At 44.0% G+C, this 12,219-nt stretch overlaps 2 protein-coding genes and 1 pseudogene across 2 annotated transcripts, besides 2 other annotated features; 1 reads left to right on the top strand and 2 right to left on the bottom strand.

Moving 5' to 3' along the window:
• Positions 1-370: 370 nt before the first annotated feature.
• Positions 371-1,480, bottom strand: H3Y2 (H3.Y histone 2). Its single transcript, NM_001371919.1, has one exon. It carries the CDS (start codon positions 1,170-1,172, stop codon positions 729-731), a length of 444 nt encoding a protein of 147 aa, NP_001358848.1. The 5' UTR covers positions 1,173-1,480; the 3' UTR covers positions 371-728.
• A 6,154-nt stretch (positions 1,481-7,634) lies between these two features.
• On the top strand, positions 7,635-8,231 carry TAF11L2 (TATA-box binding protein associated factor 11 like 2). Its single transcript, NM_001401696.1, has one exon. It carries the CDS (start codon positions 7,635-7,637, stop codon positions 8,229-8,231), a length of 597 nt encoding a protein of 198 aa, NP_001388625.1.
• Positions 11,213-11,713: an enhancer, noted in NCBI's record as "H3K4me1 hESC enhancer chr5:17501918-17502418 (GRCh37/hg19 assembly coordinates)". NCBI's record gives its function as "activates a minimal SCP1, AML or CMV promoter by ChIP-STARR-seq in naive H9 embryonic stem cells {active_cell/tissue: H9 hESC(naive)}" and the evidence as "EXISTENCE:reporter gene assay evidence [ECO:0000049][PMID:30033119]".
• Positions 11,447-11,767, bottom strand: H3P17 (H3 histone pseudogene 17; annotated as a pseudogene).
• Positions 11,714-12,214: an enhancer, noted in NCBI's record as "H3K4me1 hESC enhancer chr5:17502419-17502919 (GRCh37/hg19 assembly coordinates)". NCBI's record gives its function as "activates a minimal SCP1, AML or CMV promoter by ChIP-STARR-seq in primed H9 embryonic stem cells {active_cell/tissue: H9 hESC(primed)}" and the evidence as "EXISTENCE:reporter gene assay evidence [ECO:0000049][PMID:30033119]".

A 12,219-nucleotide genomic window follows, 5' to 3' on the forward strand; every position in this document is an offset into this window, starting at 1 on the left:
ATGTCCAGAGCCTCTTCTACAACCTTTGTGTCCAAGGCCTTGACCATTCCAGCCATGACATTGACCACATTCCGGAATTTAGACCACCAGGGATGGACTGCATCAGACGCCCAATGGGTGCCTCTGACTCCCTTCAACACACAGATATACCACACTGGATTTTACCCACACTGCCTTTCATAGTGTGCATTGACTTGTAAATAGAGAATCTATTTAAATTGTAGAAAATGAAGTTTAATGTATTTTCATAGGAAACTAGCGGAAACATCACAGGAGACAGGGAACATTGAAAACACAGAGTTGCATACATAAAACCTCCAAGTATACCTGGAATCTATTGTTTCATAAAATGCAATAAACATCTTTTAGCTCAGATTAATAAGAAATTTATTTTGTTTACAGAACCCGTATGCAGACATAGTAAAGAAAAAAAAATAAGATTTCTTTATAATTTTATAGAGTTGAACTGAAACTCGCTCACAGAGACATTTCCACTTGACACTAGTACCTTGGGAGCCTCAAAGTAGATGAGACGTTTACTAACAAGCACACACAAACACAACTGCCACCTGATTTCTGCCTGCGTTTCCACTGGCAATCTTATGCTTAGCTACCTTTGGACCCCCGGAGGGAAAAGAAACCAAAACAGAACAAAACTTCTCACATCAGAACTACCAGTTACGGGGGAAGAGAAAAAAGAAAACACAAGCAAACAGAAAAGAAGTCCTCTAGAGTGCAAGGTTTCCCAGGAGCGTGGGCTCTCCGGCACCCTCTCCACGGAGGCGGCGGGCCAGCTGCATGTCTCGGGGCATAATTGTGACGCGCCTGGCATGGATGGCACACAGGTTGGTGTCTTCAAAGAGTTGCACCAGGTAGGCCTCGCTGGCCTCCTGCAGGGCGCCAATGGCCGCGCTCTGGAAGCGCAGGTCCGGGCTGATGGCCTGGGCGATCTCACGCACCAGACGCTGGAAGGGCAGCTTGCGCAGGAGCAGCTGCGTGGACTTCTGGTACTTTCTGATTTCCCGCAGCGCCAGGGTGCCAGGCTTGTAGCGGTGAGGCTTCTTGATCCCTCCTGTAGGCGACGCCCTTTTTCTGGCGGCTTTGGTGGCCAGGGGCTTCCTGGGGGCCTGCCAGGCGGTGGCTTTGCGGGCGGTCTGCTTGGTGCGCGCCATGTTGTGGGGCCTTGTGCTCTCTCCTCTCTGAGGCTGAGCCTGGCCTGCTGCAGGCAGTACTGGCGTCAGAAAACAAGGGCAGTGGTGCTGTGGACAGGATTCAGAGAGCCTGTGAGTTGAGATCCATGCGCAGGACTCTCCCACACACTTAACCCCTGCCAACCCAACCCCACACTTACCAGCTCTCAGGTCTGTGGGTCGGAGGCCGGGCTGCTTAGTCTTCCCGGAAGGTCTTGGGTTTCCTTGGTCTACCCAGCAGCAGCCAGGAGTCTCCCTCGCAGGCAGTCTGTTTCTGACTGGAGATCTCTGTGGTCTCAGTAAAGCCCTGCCTCTTATAAGGAGCTCAGATGATTGCATTAGACTCACCCAGCTCCCTTCCATTGTACTCACTGCTTCACTAGACTCTCAACCTCGTCAGCGCTGTGAAAACCCAATTTGAGTCCCTGGGTTCTGCACACACCCCAGAGAGGGAGGAACCTCTGCCGTGTGCATCGTGGGAGGGATGGTAGGTGTGAGTTAGAAAAAATTCTGGGTGCCAAGGAGATTCTGAAAGTTTACATTTCACGACCATCATGGAAGTCATTACAATGAAAAAGACATTTGAATAAAGTTGTATGTTACCCGACATCGGTGACTGCTGCAAAACACCAAGGGTGCGATCATGAGGTGTCTCTCAGGTTCCCTGAGGATGAGGTGAAACGGGGAGGGAAATATGGAAAACCTAAATGATCACTCCTCTAACAGGGATGCTCCTGGGGGCATTTTTCTCCCCCAAAGTGACATTCATGGGAATCTGCGGTAGCCTTCAGGCAAAGTTGTGGCTTTTTGATCAAATGGTCCTATGTGCCTGTCACTGAGGCTCTCTGGCTCTTTTTTTTTTTTTTTTAACCTTGGTACCAGTAACAGTATATTGTTAACTATAGTCACCACGTTGTACAATAATTCTTGAGCTTGTTCCCCCATGTAACTGACGTGTTGTGTGTTTTGACCAACATCTCCTCAAATTCCCCATCCCCAGCCACCACAGCCCCAGACGACCATCTTTCTTATATTTTTGCGTCTATCAGATTAACTTTGTGAGATTCCAGGTATCATGGAGACCATGTAGTGTTTGTATTCTTATGCCTGGCTTATTTCACTTAGCATGATGTTCTCCAAGTGCACCCATGTGTACACAAAGGACAAGATTTCCTTCTTTAAGGCTGCATAGTATTCCCTTGTGTATGTATATCGGATTTTCCTCATCCTGTTATCTGCTTTTTGACATTTAGGTGGATTCCCTATCTTAGGTCTTGTAAATAGCACTGCAATGAACAGGGGAGTATAGATATCTCTTCAATAGACTGATTTCATTTCCTTTTCATATACACTTCCCAGTGTGGGATTGCTGGATCATATGGTAGCTGTATTTATGTAGTTTTTGGAGGAAGTTCCATACTGTTTTCTAGAATGGCTCCCTAATTTACATTCCCAGGAATAATACAAGGGTTCGCTTTCCTCCACATCCTCAACAAGTGTTGTCCTTTGATGTTTTGATTGCAGCCATTCTAAAGAGTGTGAGGTGATGCCTTCTTTTAGTTTTTATATGCATTTCTCTGAAGATTGGTGACATGGAGCATATATATATATATACATGCCTGCTGGCCACTTGTATATCTTCTCTCCTGAGATGTCTATTATTTAGGTCCTTTGCCCAGTTTTAAAATTGTGTTGTTTCTTGCTGTTGAGTCCTTTGAGTTCATGGTATATTTTGAACAGTAACTAATTAATGCCTTATTGGATATAGTGTTTGCAAGTATTTTTTCTCACGATGATTTTGTCTCTTCATGGTGTTAATTATTTCTTTTACTGTGCAGAATTTTTTTTTCATTTGGATGCAATCCATTTGTCTATTTTCCCTTTTGCTGCCCATGTGTTTGGGACATATTTCAAAAATTATTGGCTTAACCAATGTCAATGAGGATGTCCCCTGTTTTCTTCTAGTAGGCTCATAGTTTAAAGTTTTGACTATATTTTGGTTGATTCTTGTGTATGGCAAGAGATTAGGGCCCAATTTCATTTTCCTGCCTGTAGATACCCAGTTTCCTATCACCACTGATGGAAGAGACTGTCCTTTTGTCATTGTGTGTTGTTGGCACGTTTGTAAAAATGTAATTGGCTGTACACATTTGGAGGGATTTCTGGGCTCTCTGCTCTGTTCCATTGGCTTTGATTTCTGTTTTGATGCCATTCTTATGCCATTTTTGTTCCTACAGCTTGATAGAATACTTTGAAGCAAGGAAGGCATGGATTTTTTTATTTTCTCTATGGTTTGCCCTATGACAGCACCACTCAGACAGATGTCAAAGAGATATAGATTTTTTTGCTTTTTCAGCTTTTTACTGATTGTTAAGACAGAGTAATGACATGGAATCTTTTTTTATGGGCCATCCTGAAAACTGGAACTCCATTTTATTGTTGCTATACATTTGTTACAGTTTATCTTATATTCAAGATATATGATCAATTACTTGTTCATATAATGACAAATAGGGTTCAGTTATACAAAATATTTAATGTTCAAATCCTACAGAGAGAGCAAATTTTGTTTTTAATTTCTGTATTTCTTAATCATTTGAAAAATAAAGTAAAAATGGAATATTATCTAAAATAAAATATATTATTATTATATGCATTTCCATTTTAGAGAAGGACAAAACAGAGATCAGTATGTTATTTCAGTCATAAACAAAGGTTACCTTGGGACCAGTTCTTTGGAGGTGAAGGTGTGGAAATGAATGCAGAAGTTAGACAGGGTTTCTTTGGTCTGCGTTTCTCTGTCTAGATTTCCATATGGCTCCTAGAGTGTGTTACCATTCTAACATCCTCAAAGATTGCTCTCTGACATGAAGCAATTTGGGCCAGAACGTGAAAAAAATCATTGTAGAGGAAAATCTGGTATTTAATTTAATTTTTATTTTTGCAAGTTCAAAACTGTTGATTCCCTGGGCAAAGTTATGAAAAGTATAAATGTTTATAAGGGGAACTATTCCAATGCTTTTAGAAAGCCAGGGCCTTCAGGAAAAAGTATTATAAGGGACGACTCTGTTGTATCTCCTACAAATCATATAGGAGCAAAAACATCCTAAGTCATAGCAACTTCAGAATTCAGTGTGATTTCATCACAGTCTCTGAAAAGAGTTTCTTTTCTCTTTGTAAAAACAGCTCCCCATTCACAGGATTCTCGAGGCTAATGCACCATTCTTCTCTCAACCAGGAAGCACCAGAACAATGCCTGAGCATGCGTGGACCTCAGAGCTCCAAATATGATGGTGATGATTGTTACTAATTTTGAGACAGGGTCTCACTCTGTTGGCCAGGTGTGAGGGCAGTGGCGCCATCTCTGCTTACTGCAACCTCCACCTCTGAAGCGCAAGCAATTCTCCTACCACACACTCCAGAATGAGTAGGTGAAACAGCAGGAACTAGTGACCACGCCCAGCTAATTTTTTTTTTTTTTTTTTTTTAAAGAGAGGCAGTCTGGAACTCTAGTTCAAGTGATTTGCCAGGTCGGCCACCCAAAATGCTGGGATAACAGGAATAAGCCACTGTGCACGGTCTGAGATACAAATATGATTGAAAGGGATGATCAAACAGGCTGCTGCCTTCATCTGGGTGTAACCAATGTAAGATGTAAGAAAGATGTTAAATCACGGGTAAGTCCAGGATGGGCTGAGATACTGAAGCTCCAGCATAGAAAGTGTGCTCTCATAGAAAGACTAGAAGCAGTACTTTCTCCTCTAAAATCAGGCCTTTCTATCTGGGCTGGGATCTGGAGGAAGATGGGGTTTTTTTTTTTTTTCTCGATGTTGGGGTAATGGGCCCTGGGCTGTCCCCTGTGAAAGGCTTGGGCTGCAGCAGGTGCGTGTCTCCCCACATCTCACACATCTCCAGTGCCTCTCCTACCAGCTCCCAGACCAAGACCTGGGTCATTCCAGCCATGGCTACGGCCATGACCACGTTCTAGGACACTGAACTGCTGGTGATGGACTGCATCGGACTTCTAAAGGCTGCCTCTCTCCCTTTTCCACCCACAAACAGACCTACACTGGTTTTTCTGCCTCCCGTAATGTGAAGCGACTGTGGATAAAGAGTATTTTCACATTTTAGAAAGTAGAGATCAATGTTTGTTCATAGCAAACCAGCAGGAGCAGTCTGTGAAACACGGAGCTGCATATAGAAAAAGTTAAAGTGTGGATCCCATCTACTGTTTGATCAATTGCAGGAGACACTGTCTATTTGGCACCTATACGTTTACTTGGTTTTCAATAATATTAAGGAACACATTTCTCCACAATTGTTCTTGATGTGAAATGCAGAAACGTGTTCACTGAGACATTTCCACAAATGTATTAGACCCTCAATGTAGATTGAAAGTTTACAAACAAAACAAATTGAAACACAGTCACTACCTGTGATTTCTGCTTCTGTTTTTATTCCCAATCATATGCTTAGCTACTTTTTGACCCTATGCGAGAAACGATACTAACTCTGAACAGAACTTCTAACATCATATCTATCATTAACAGAGAGAAAACACAACACAACAAAAAAGAAACCATTAACAGAGAAAAACACAACACAACACAAAGGAACCATTTGCAATGCAAGATTTCCCAGGAATGTGGGCTCTTAAGCACCCTCTCCATGGAGGCTGTGGGCCAGCTGCATGTCTCTGGACATAATTGGGAAGCTCCTGGCATGGATGACACACAGTTTGGTATCTTACAAAAGTTCCGATGTAAATGTGTTGCTGGAAAAGAGGGGTTTCACCATGTTGTCCAGGCTGGTCTTGAACTCCTGACCTCAGGAGATCCACCCACCTCGGCCTCCCAAAATGCTGAGATTACAGGCATGAGCCACCATGCCAGACCAGTAATTTCATATCTTCTACCAACAATTTTTGAATAAACAAAAACTCTTTAAAAGTCAGATATTTGAGTGCCTGCTTTATCTTCTGAAGTACTTTTTATGCCATTTCTCAACATAATTTTCCCTAAATGTGATTTATGTCTCTGTGCATGACATAATTTTATGTCTCTTTGGTGCTTCCCTGTGACCTATGTATACATATACATGTAATATATAAATTGAAGTCTGGGCACAGTGGCTCATGCCTGTAATCACTTCACTTTGAGAAACCAAGAGGGGCTGATCACTTGAAGTCAGCAGTTTAAGACCAGCCTGGCCAAAATTGTGAAACCTCCTCTCTACTTTAAAAAATACAAAAATTATCGCAGCTTGGTGGGGTGCACATTTAGTCCCAGCTACTCTGGAGGCTGAGGCAGGAGAGTTGCTTGAGTCCAGGAGGCAGAGGCTGCAGTGAGCTGAGATCAGGGCACTGCAATCCAGCCTGGGGGACAGAGTGAGACTCTGTCTCAAAAATAAATCAATAAAATAAGATAAAATAAAATTGAAATAGTATTTTCATATTCCCCTCACCCAGCTCATTTTATTTTCAGAGTATTTGATAAAACACTTGTTTCCCTGTGAGTTAGAGATTTTTTTCTCAGACATTGAAGTTTTCTAATGTGCAACTTCATAAAACATCTCGTTTTTACTGTAAATAGTTTCTTTATTGTTGTGAAATGTGAACTTTGCGATTCTGTGAGGAAAACTGAATTCTGAAAGGCCCCCTGCATTTCCCACCACTCAGAGACTCGCCCTGCATCTGCCCCACCTTAAGTGTGGGCAGAACCATGAATTGATGAGCCTGCCCAAATCCCTGATAAGGTTAGGGATACCCTGAACCATTAGCTGTTAAGTGCTGGGTCTAATTCAATCATCTGAGCTCTTTATAAGGGACTGAACCTCCCTGAGATTACATTCCCCTGTGGGAGATCCCTCATCACTGGCTGTGCAGACCCAGGGAGCCTCACAGCCCAGACCTGGGCAACACGTGTAGGAGCTGAGAGCATCCTCACGGCAGCAGGCAGAACAAACAAGTGGGCCTGGGGCTCACTACCCTAAGGCATTGAATTCTGCCACCAACTTGAATCAGATCGAAGCCAGACCCTTCTCAGGTGAAGGCAATGACCACACAAACAAACCCATCCTGGAAGTCCCTCTTGTGACTCTGAGCAGGAGGCAGTCACTTGGCCTAGTAGAACTTCTGACCTGTGAGCTGGTGTTTGTTTTAAATATCCAAAATTGGTGAGAATTCGTTCTGCATTGATCTAAAATTAATATACGCTCCATGCACAAGTTTCTTCACATTGTGGAAGTGAGAAAATTCGGTGTGTGTGTTTGTGTGTGGGAAGGTGAGGCCGGGAGCTGTGTCCAGTTGTGGCTAAACTATGGCTCAGCAGAAACACAGCAGCTAAAATCTTTGAAAGGTTCTCATCGCAGATCCATAATCAAACCACCCCAGCCAGAACTTCTGCCTGTACAGCTGCTGTCACGGAGCAGACTTGAATCTCACCCATGGAGACAGGCAGGCAAACAGGTGTGTCTGCTGAGATGTTCGCCATGCCCCGAGATCTGAAGGGCAGCAAGAAGGATGGAATCCCTGAGGACCTAGATGGGAACTTGGAAGAACCCAGGGATCAGGAAGGTGAGCTCAGGAGTGAGGATGTCATGGACCTCACAGAAGGTGACAATGAGGCCTCAGCCTCAGCTCCTCCTGCAGCCAAAAGACGGAAAACAGATACCAAAGGAAAGAAGGAGAGGAAGCCCACTGTGGATGCAGAGGAGGCTCAGAGGATGACAACCCTGCTGTCTGCCATGTCTGAGGAGCAGCTGTCCCGCTACGAAGTGTGTCGCCGGTCAGCTTTCCCAAAAGCATGCATTGCGGGTCTGATGCGGTCTATCACTGGCAGATCGGTGTCTGAGAACGTGGCGATTGCCATGGCTGGAATAGCCAAGGTCTTTGTTGGAGAGGTGGTGGAAGAGGCCCTGGACGTGTGTGAGATGTGGGGAGAAATGCCCCCACTGCAGCCCAAGCATTTAAGGGAGGCTGTTCGCAGGTTAAAGCCCAAGGGCCTCTTCCCCAACAGCAACTACAAAAAAATCATGTTCTAGGCCCAAGGCCAGACGGAGGGGTCTGTTTGTGCAGGAATAAGTACCGCATTCATCTTCCAATGACAGGACTGCCTTTGCTGGAGCTTCTGCATCTCAGTCCCACCTGGATTTACCCACCATCTTAGTGTCTTAAAATGTGAAGTTGCCCTTACCTGGATGAAGACAGCAGATTGTTTCATAGGAGCCTTGGCTAAATGTTTGGGCCTCCAAGGGCATATTCAGGCATTTTTCTATACCTTTCTAGTTGGAAGAATAAAGGTGCCTGGGCCTTGAGCATCCTGTGGACAGGGAGCTGCATTCAGAGAGGGAAGCCCTTTCCAGGAGATTTGTATGGATTCATGCTGAAGCCTGGTGTAGCTGTGTCTTAGCTTGTATGCTTATGTCTGGGTTTCAGTAAGTGAAGCCTCCAGAAATGTTTCCCAATTGTTGTCCTTCTCTGATTTTCAATGCTCATATGTATTTTTGTGAGTCATCACAAAAACAGTTAAACTCTTTTCCAAACTGCGGAAATAAAAATAAAATCACAAAGAATTTTTTTCTCTAAGTTGACTCTTCTATTCCTGCTTACTGTGCTTTATGTCAGCAAGTGACCCTTTACTTTATTATAATGTAATATAGTATAGGTGCATCATGGAAGACTAGAGAGAAACCAATTCCAAAACCACCTTTCCTCAAGCCGCCATTTGTAATGATCATATGTGCAGTTTCAAAGACACAGAGAGAGCCTATTGATACTTCACGTTCGCTACACATGGTGATTTTACCAGTGCTTCCGGAGACACTGAAATTTAGTTCCAAACATTGCCTTAGAGGATTCTTGATTTTATTCATTCTACCGATGATCCACTCAGAAAATCAAACCTGAGTACAGAGACATTGGAGAAGTTGTTAAAGTATCGGACCAAGTAGGTTCATCACGAGTGACAAAGTTATTCCATACTCTACTTGTACATACTCTGCTTTACCTTTATGATGGAAAAGAGTAATTTTTTGTTATCGAATAAAGACCTGAGATTTATTATGGAATCACCGTGAACCTTCCCAGCACATACAGCTCACAGATATCCACGGTGCTGTTTCAGTCTGTTTACTACTGCCATGTGCCCCCTGAGTCACAGAGTATAAGCAAAAAGGATGGAAAAGACCCCATAGTTCAGCTGTAATATTGAATGGAGAATAACATGTACTCTTTCTTCCTGAAGCCAAAGACACTCCCGTAAAATATAGTTTTATTTCTTCATACACTCAGCTTTTGCTCTTAAAATAGGACTTATTTTACACAGAATCTGCCTTTGAGTATTACACAAATTTCTCAACTTTACCGAGTATGGGGAAATTGTTTCATACCTCCATATTCTGACATGGTTTAGCTTTCCTTTCATTTTACCAACTTTCTTGTAAAGGCATCTAACAAGTTAGACCAGTGTGTCTTAGAGACACAAGGAGGGTACAGGTTCTTGGAAGAACTGATGGAGATGGAAGGGCTCTCTCAGGAATTAAAGTGCTCGAGCAACCAAAAGAAGTATGATCCAAGAGACTTAATATCTCCCAGTCTTTAGGTTGCTCTCAGCTCATTCCTTTTCCATGGCACTGAGCAGTCTTGGAAGCTGTATTCTGTCAGATGTTGCAGGTCTAGCACTTTCTGAACAGTAGAGGCAAAGAGAACCTGGCCCAAGCAGGTTGGTCTGCTGAGGTGGAGACAAGCATCTGTAGAGAGCAGTGCTGATGGTGATTCCACACACAAGGTTAGAACATTAGAACATTTTTCTGGCCCCTCATAGAACTCAATAGTCTGAGTGGGGTCTGAGTAAAGCTGAACTGCTGAAGACAGAAACAAGTTCCCATCAAGGTCTCAGAGGTCAGCTCAGGAGCAGGAACACAGCTTTGTTTTCTCAGAGAGGAAAATTGGATTAGCCGAGAAGGTTCAGTGTCCTTACAAATCGTTTTTTTTACTTTCAGTTTTGGGATCCATGTGCAGAATGTGCAGGTTTGTAACAAAGCTTTACATGTTCCCTAGTGGTTTGCTGCACCTATCAACCCATCATCGAGGCTTTAAGCCCCGCATGCATTGCATATTTTTCCTAATGCTCTCCCTTCCCTTGCCTCCCACCCCCTGACAGGCCACGCTGTGTGATGTTCCCCTCTCTGTGTCCATGTGTTCTCATTGATCAACTCCCACTTATGAGTGAGAACATGTGGTGTTTGGTTTTCTGTTCCTGTGTTAGTTTGTTGAGAATGATGGTTCCAGTGTGACCTGTGTCACCGCAAAGAACACGAGCTCATTCTTTTTTATGGCTCTATAGTATTCCATGGTGTATATATGCCACATGTTCTTTATCCAGACCTTCACTGATGGGCATTTGGGTTGGTTCCACGTCTTTGCTATTGTAAACTGTGCCGCAATAAACATATATGTATGTGTTTTTATAGTAGAATGATTTATAATCCTTTGGGTATATACCCAGTAATGAGATTGCTGGGTCCAGTGGTATTTCTGGTTCTATATCCTTGAGGAATCGCCACACTGTCTTCCACAATGGTTGAACTAATTGACACTCTCACAGACATTGTAAAAGTGTTTCTATGTCTCCACGGCCTTGCCAGCATCTGTTGTTTCCTGACTTTTTAATAATCACATATGAAATCTTCTCAATATATAATACCATATAGCCACAGCTCTCAAGAAAGAAGTCTGTAGAAAATGGTATCTTTCCAGGAGAAATCTTTGACAGCTTTCATGGCTGATTGTATTACATGTTAATGACAATGAAGTTTTTCCTGGAGCTTCATTACTATTCTTAAAGTCTATCTCATAATGTACATTTGGAGACTGCCTAGAAAAATGTGGTCTCTGATTGGTGCTGGTAAAGTTGTGACAAGACACCTAACAAATAAAGTGACTGTACTTGACTATTTTCTATCATTTTCTATTTTGGGATAAGCTTAACATTCTCACTGCTTGCCTTTGCCCCCACAAGTAATTAGCATATGCCTAAATAAAGTTTAAGCAAGCTAGCTCCACTATTCCCAAGCACATATTATCTAGGGTCTAGTCTTTAGAAGTACAAAGCTTACAAGTACAACTACACAAAAAATTGTACCCAAACTACAAAGGCTTAAATGATCAATTGATGGATTTGTGTTTCCTATGGAAGAGGGTACCAAGCAGAGCCCTAATATACATACATAGGGGAGAAGAGAGCAGGGCTTTTATGGATGGTACACAGCTAGGTGACTTCAAAGAGGTGCACCAGGTAAGCCTCACTGGGCTCCTGCAGGGCTCCAATGGTAGCGCTCTGGAAGCGCAGGACCAGGATGATGGCCTAGGAGATCTTGCGCACCAGGCGCTGGAAGGGCAGCTTGAGGAGTAACAGCTGCGTGGACTTCTGGTACTTTCTGATTTCGCACATTGCCAGGCCTGTAGCGGTGAGGCTTCTTGATCCCTCCTGTAGGCAGTGCCCTTTTGCTGGCGGCTTTAGTGGCCAGGGTCTTCGTGGCGCCTGCCAGGCGGTGGCTTTGCTGGCTGTTGGCTTGGGGCATGCAGTGGCCTGGGGCTGTGGTCTCTCTCCTGTCCTTGGGCTGAGCCAGGTTAACTGGAGACAGCGCTGGTTTCAGACTGCAATGGTGGTGGGGCTGTGGACAAAAATCAGAGAGTCTGCGAGTTGAGATCCATGCAGAAGACTCTTCAGACACTTAACCCCTTCCAAGCCAGCCCCAGACTTACCAGCTCGCAGGTATGTGGGTCAGAGGTCCTGCTGCTCGGTCTCCCGGGGGTCCTGGGCTTCCTTGGTCTACACATCAGCTGTGGGGAATCTCCCTCCCCCCAGGCAGCCTGGCTCTGGCTGGACATCTGTGTAGTCTCAGCCAAGTCCAGCCTATTATAAGGGGCTCAAATGATTGCATTAGACCTATGCAGCTACCTTCCATTGCTCTCAGTGCTTGGCCAGACCCTCAACCTCATCAGGGTTGTGAAAACCCAATCAAGTCC

This window comes from Homo sapiens, chromosome 5 (genome assembly GCF_000001405.40).
Source record: "Homo sapiens chromosome 5, GRCh38.p14 Primary Assembly".
NCBI classification, from domain to species: Eukaryota; Metazoa; Chordata; class Mammalia; order Primates; family Hominidae; genus Homo; species Homo sapiens.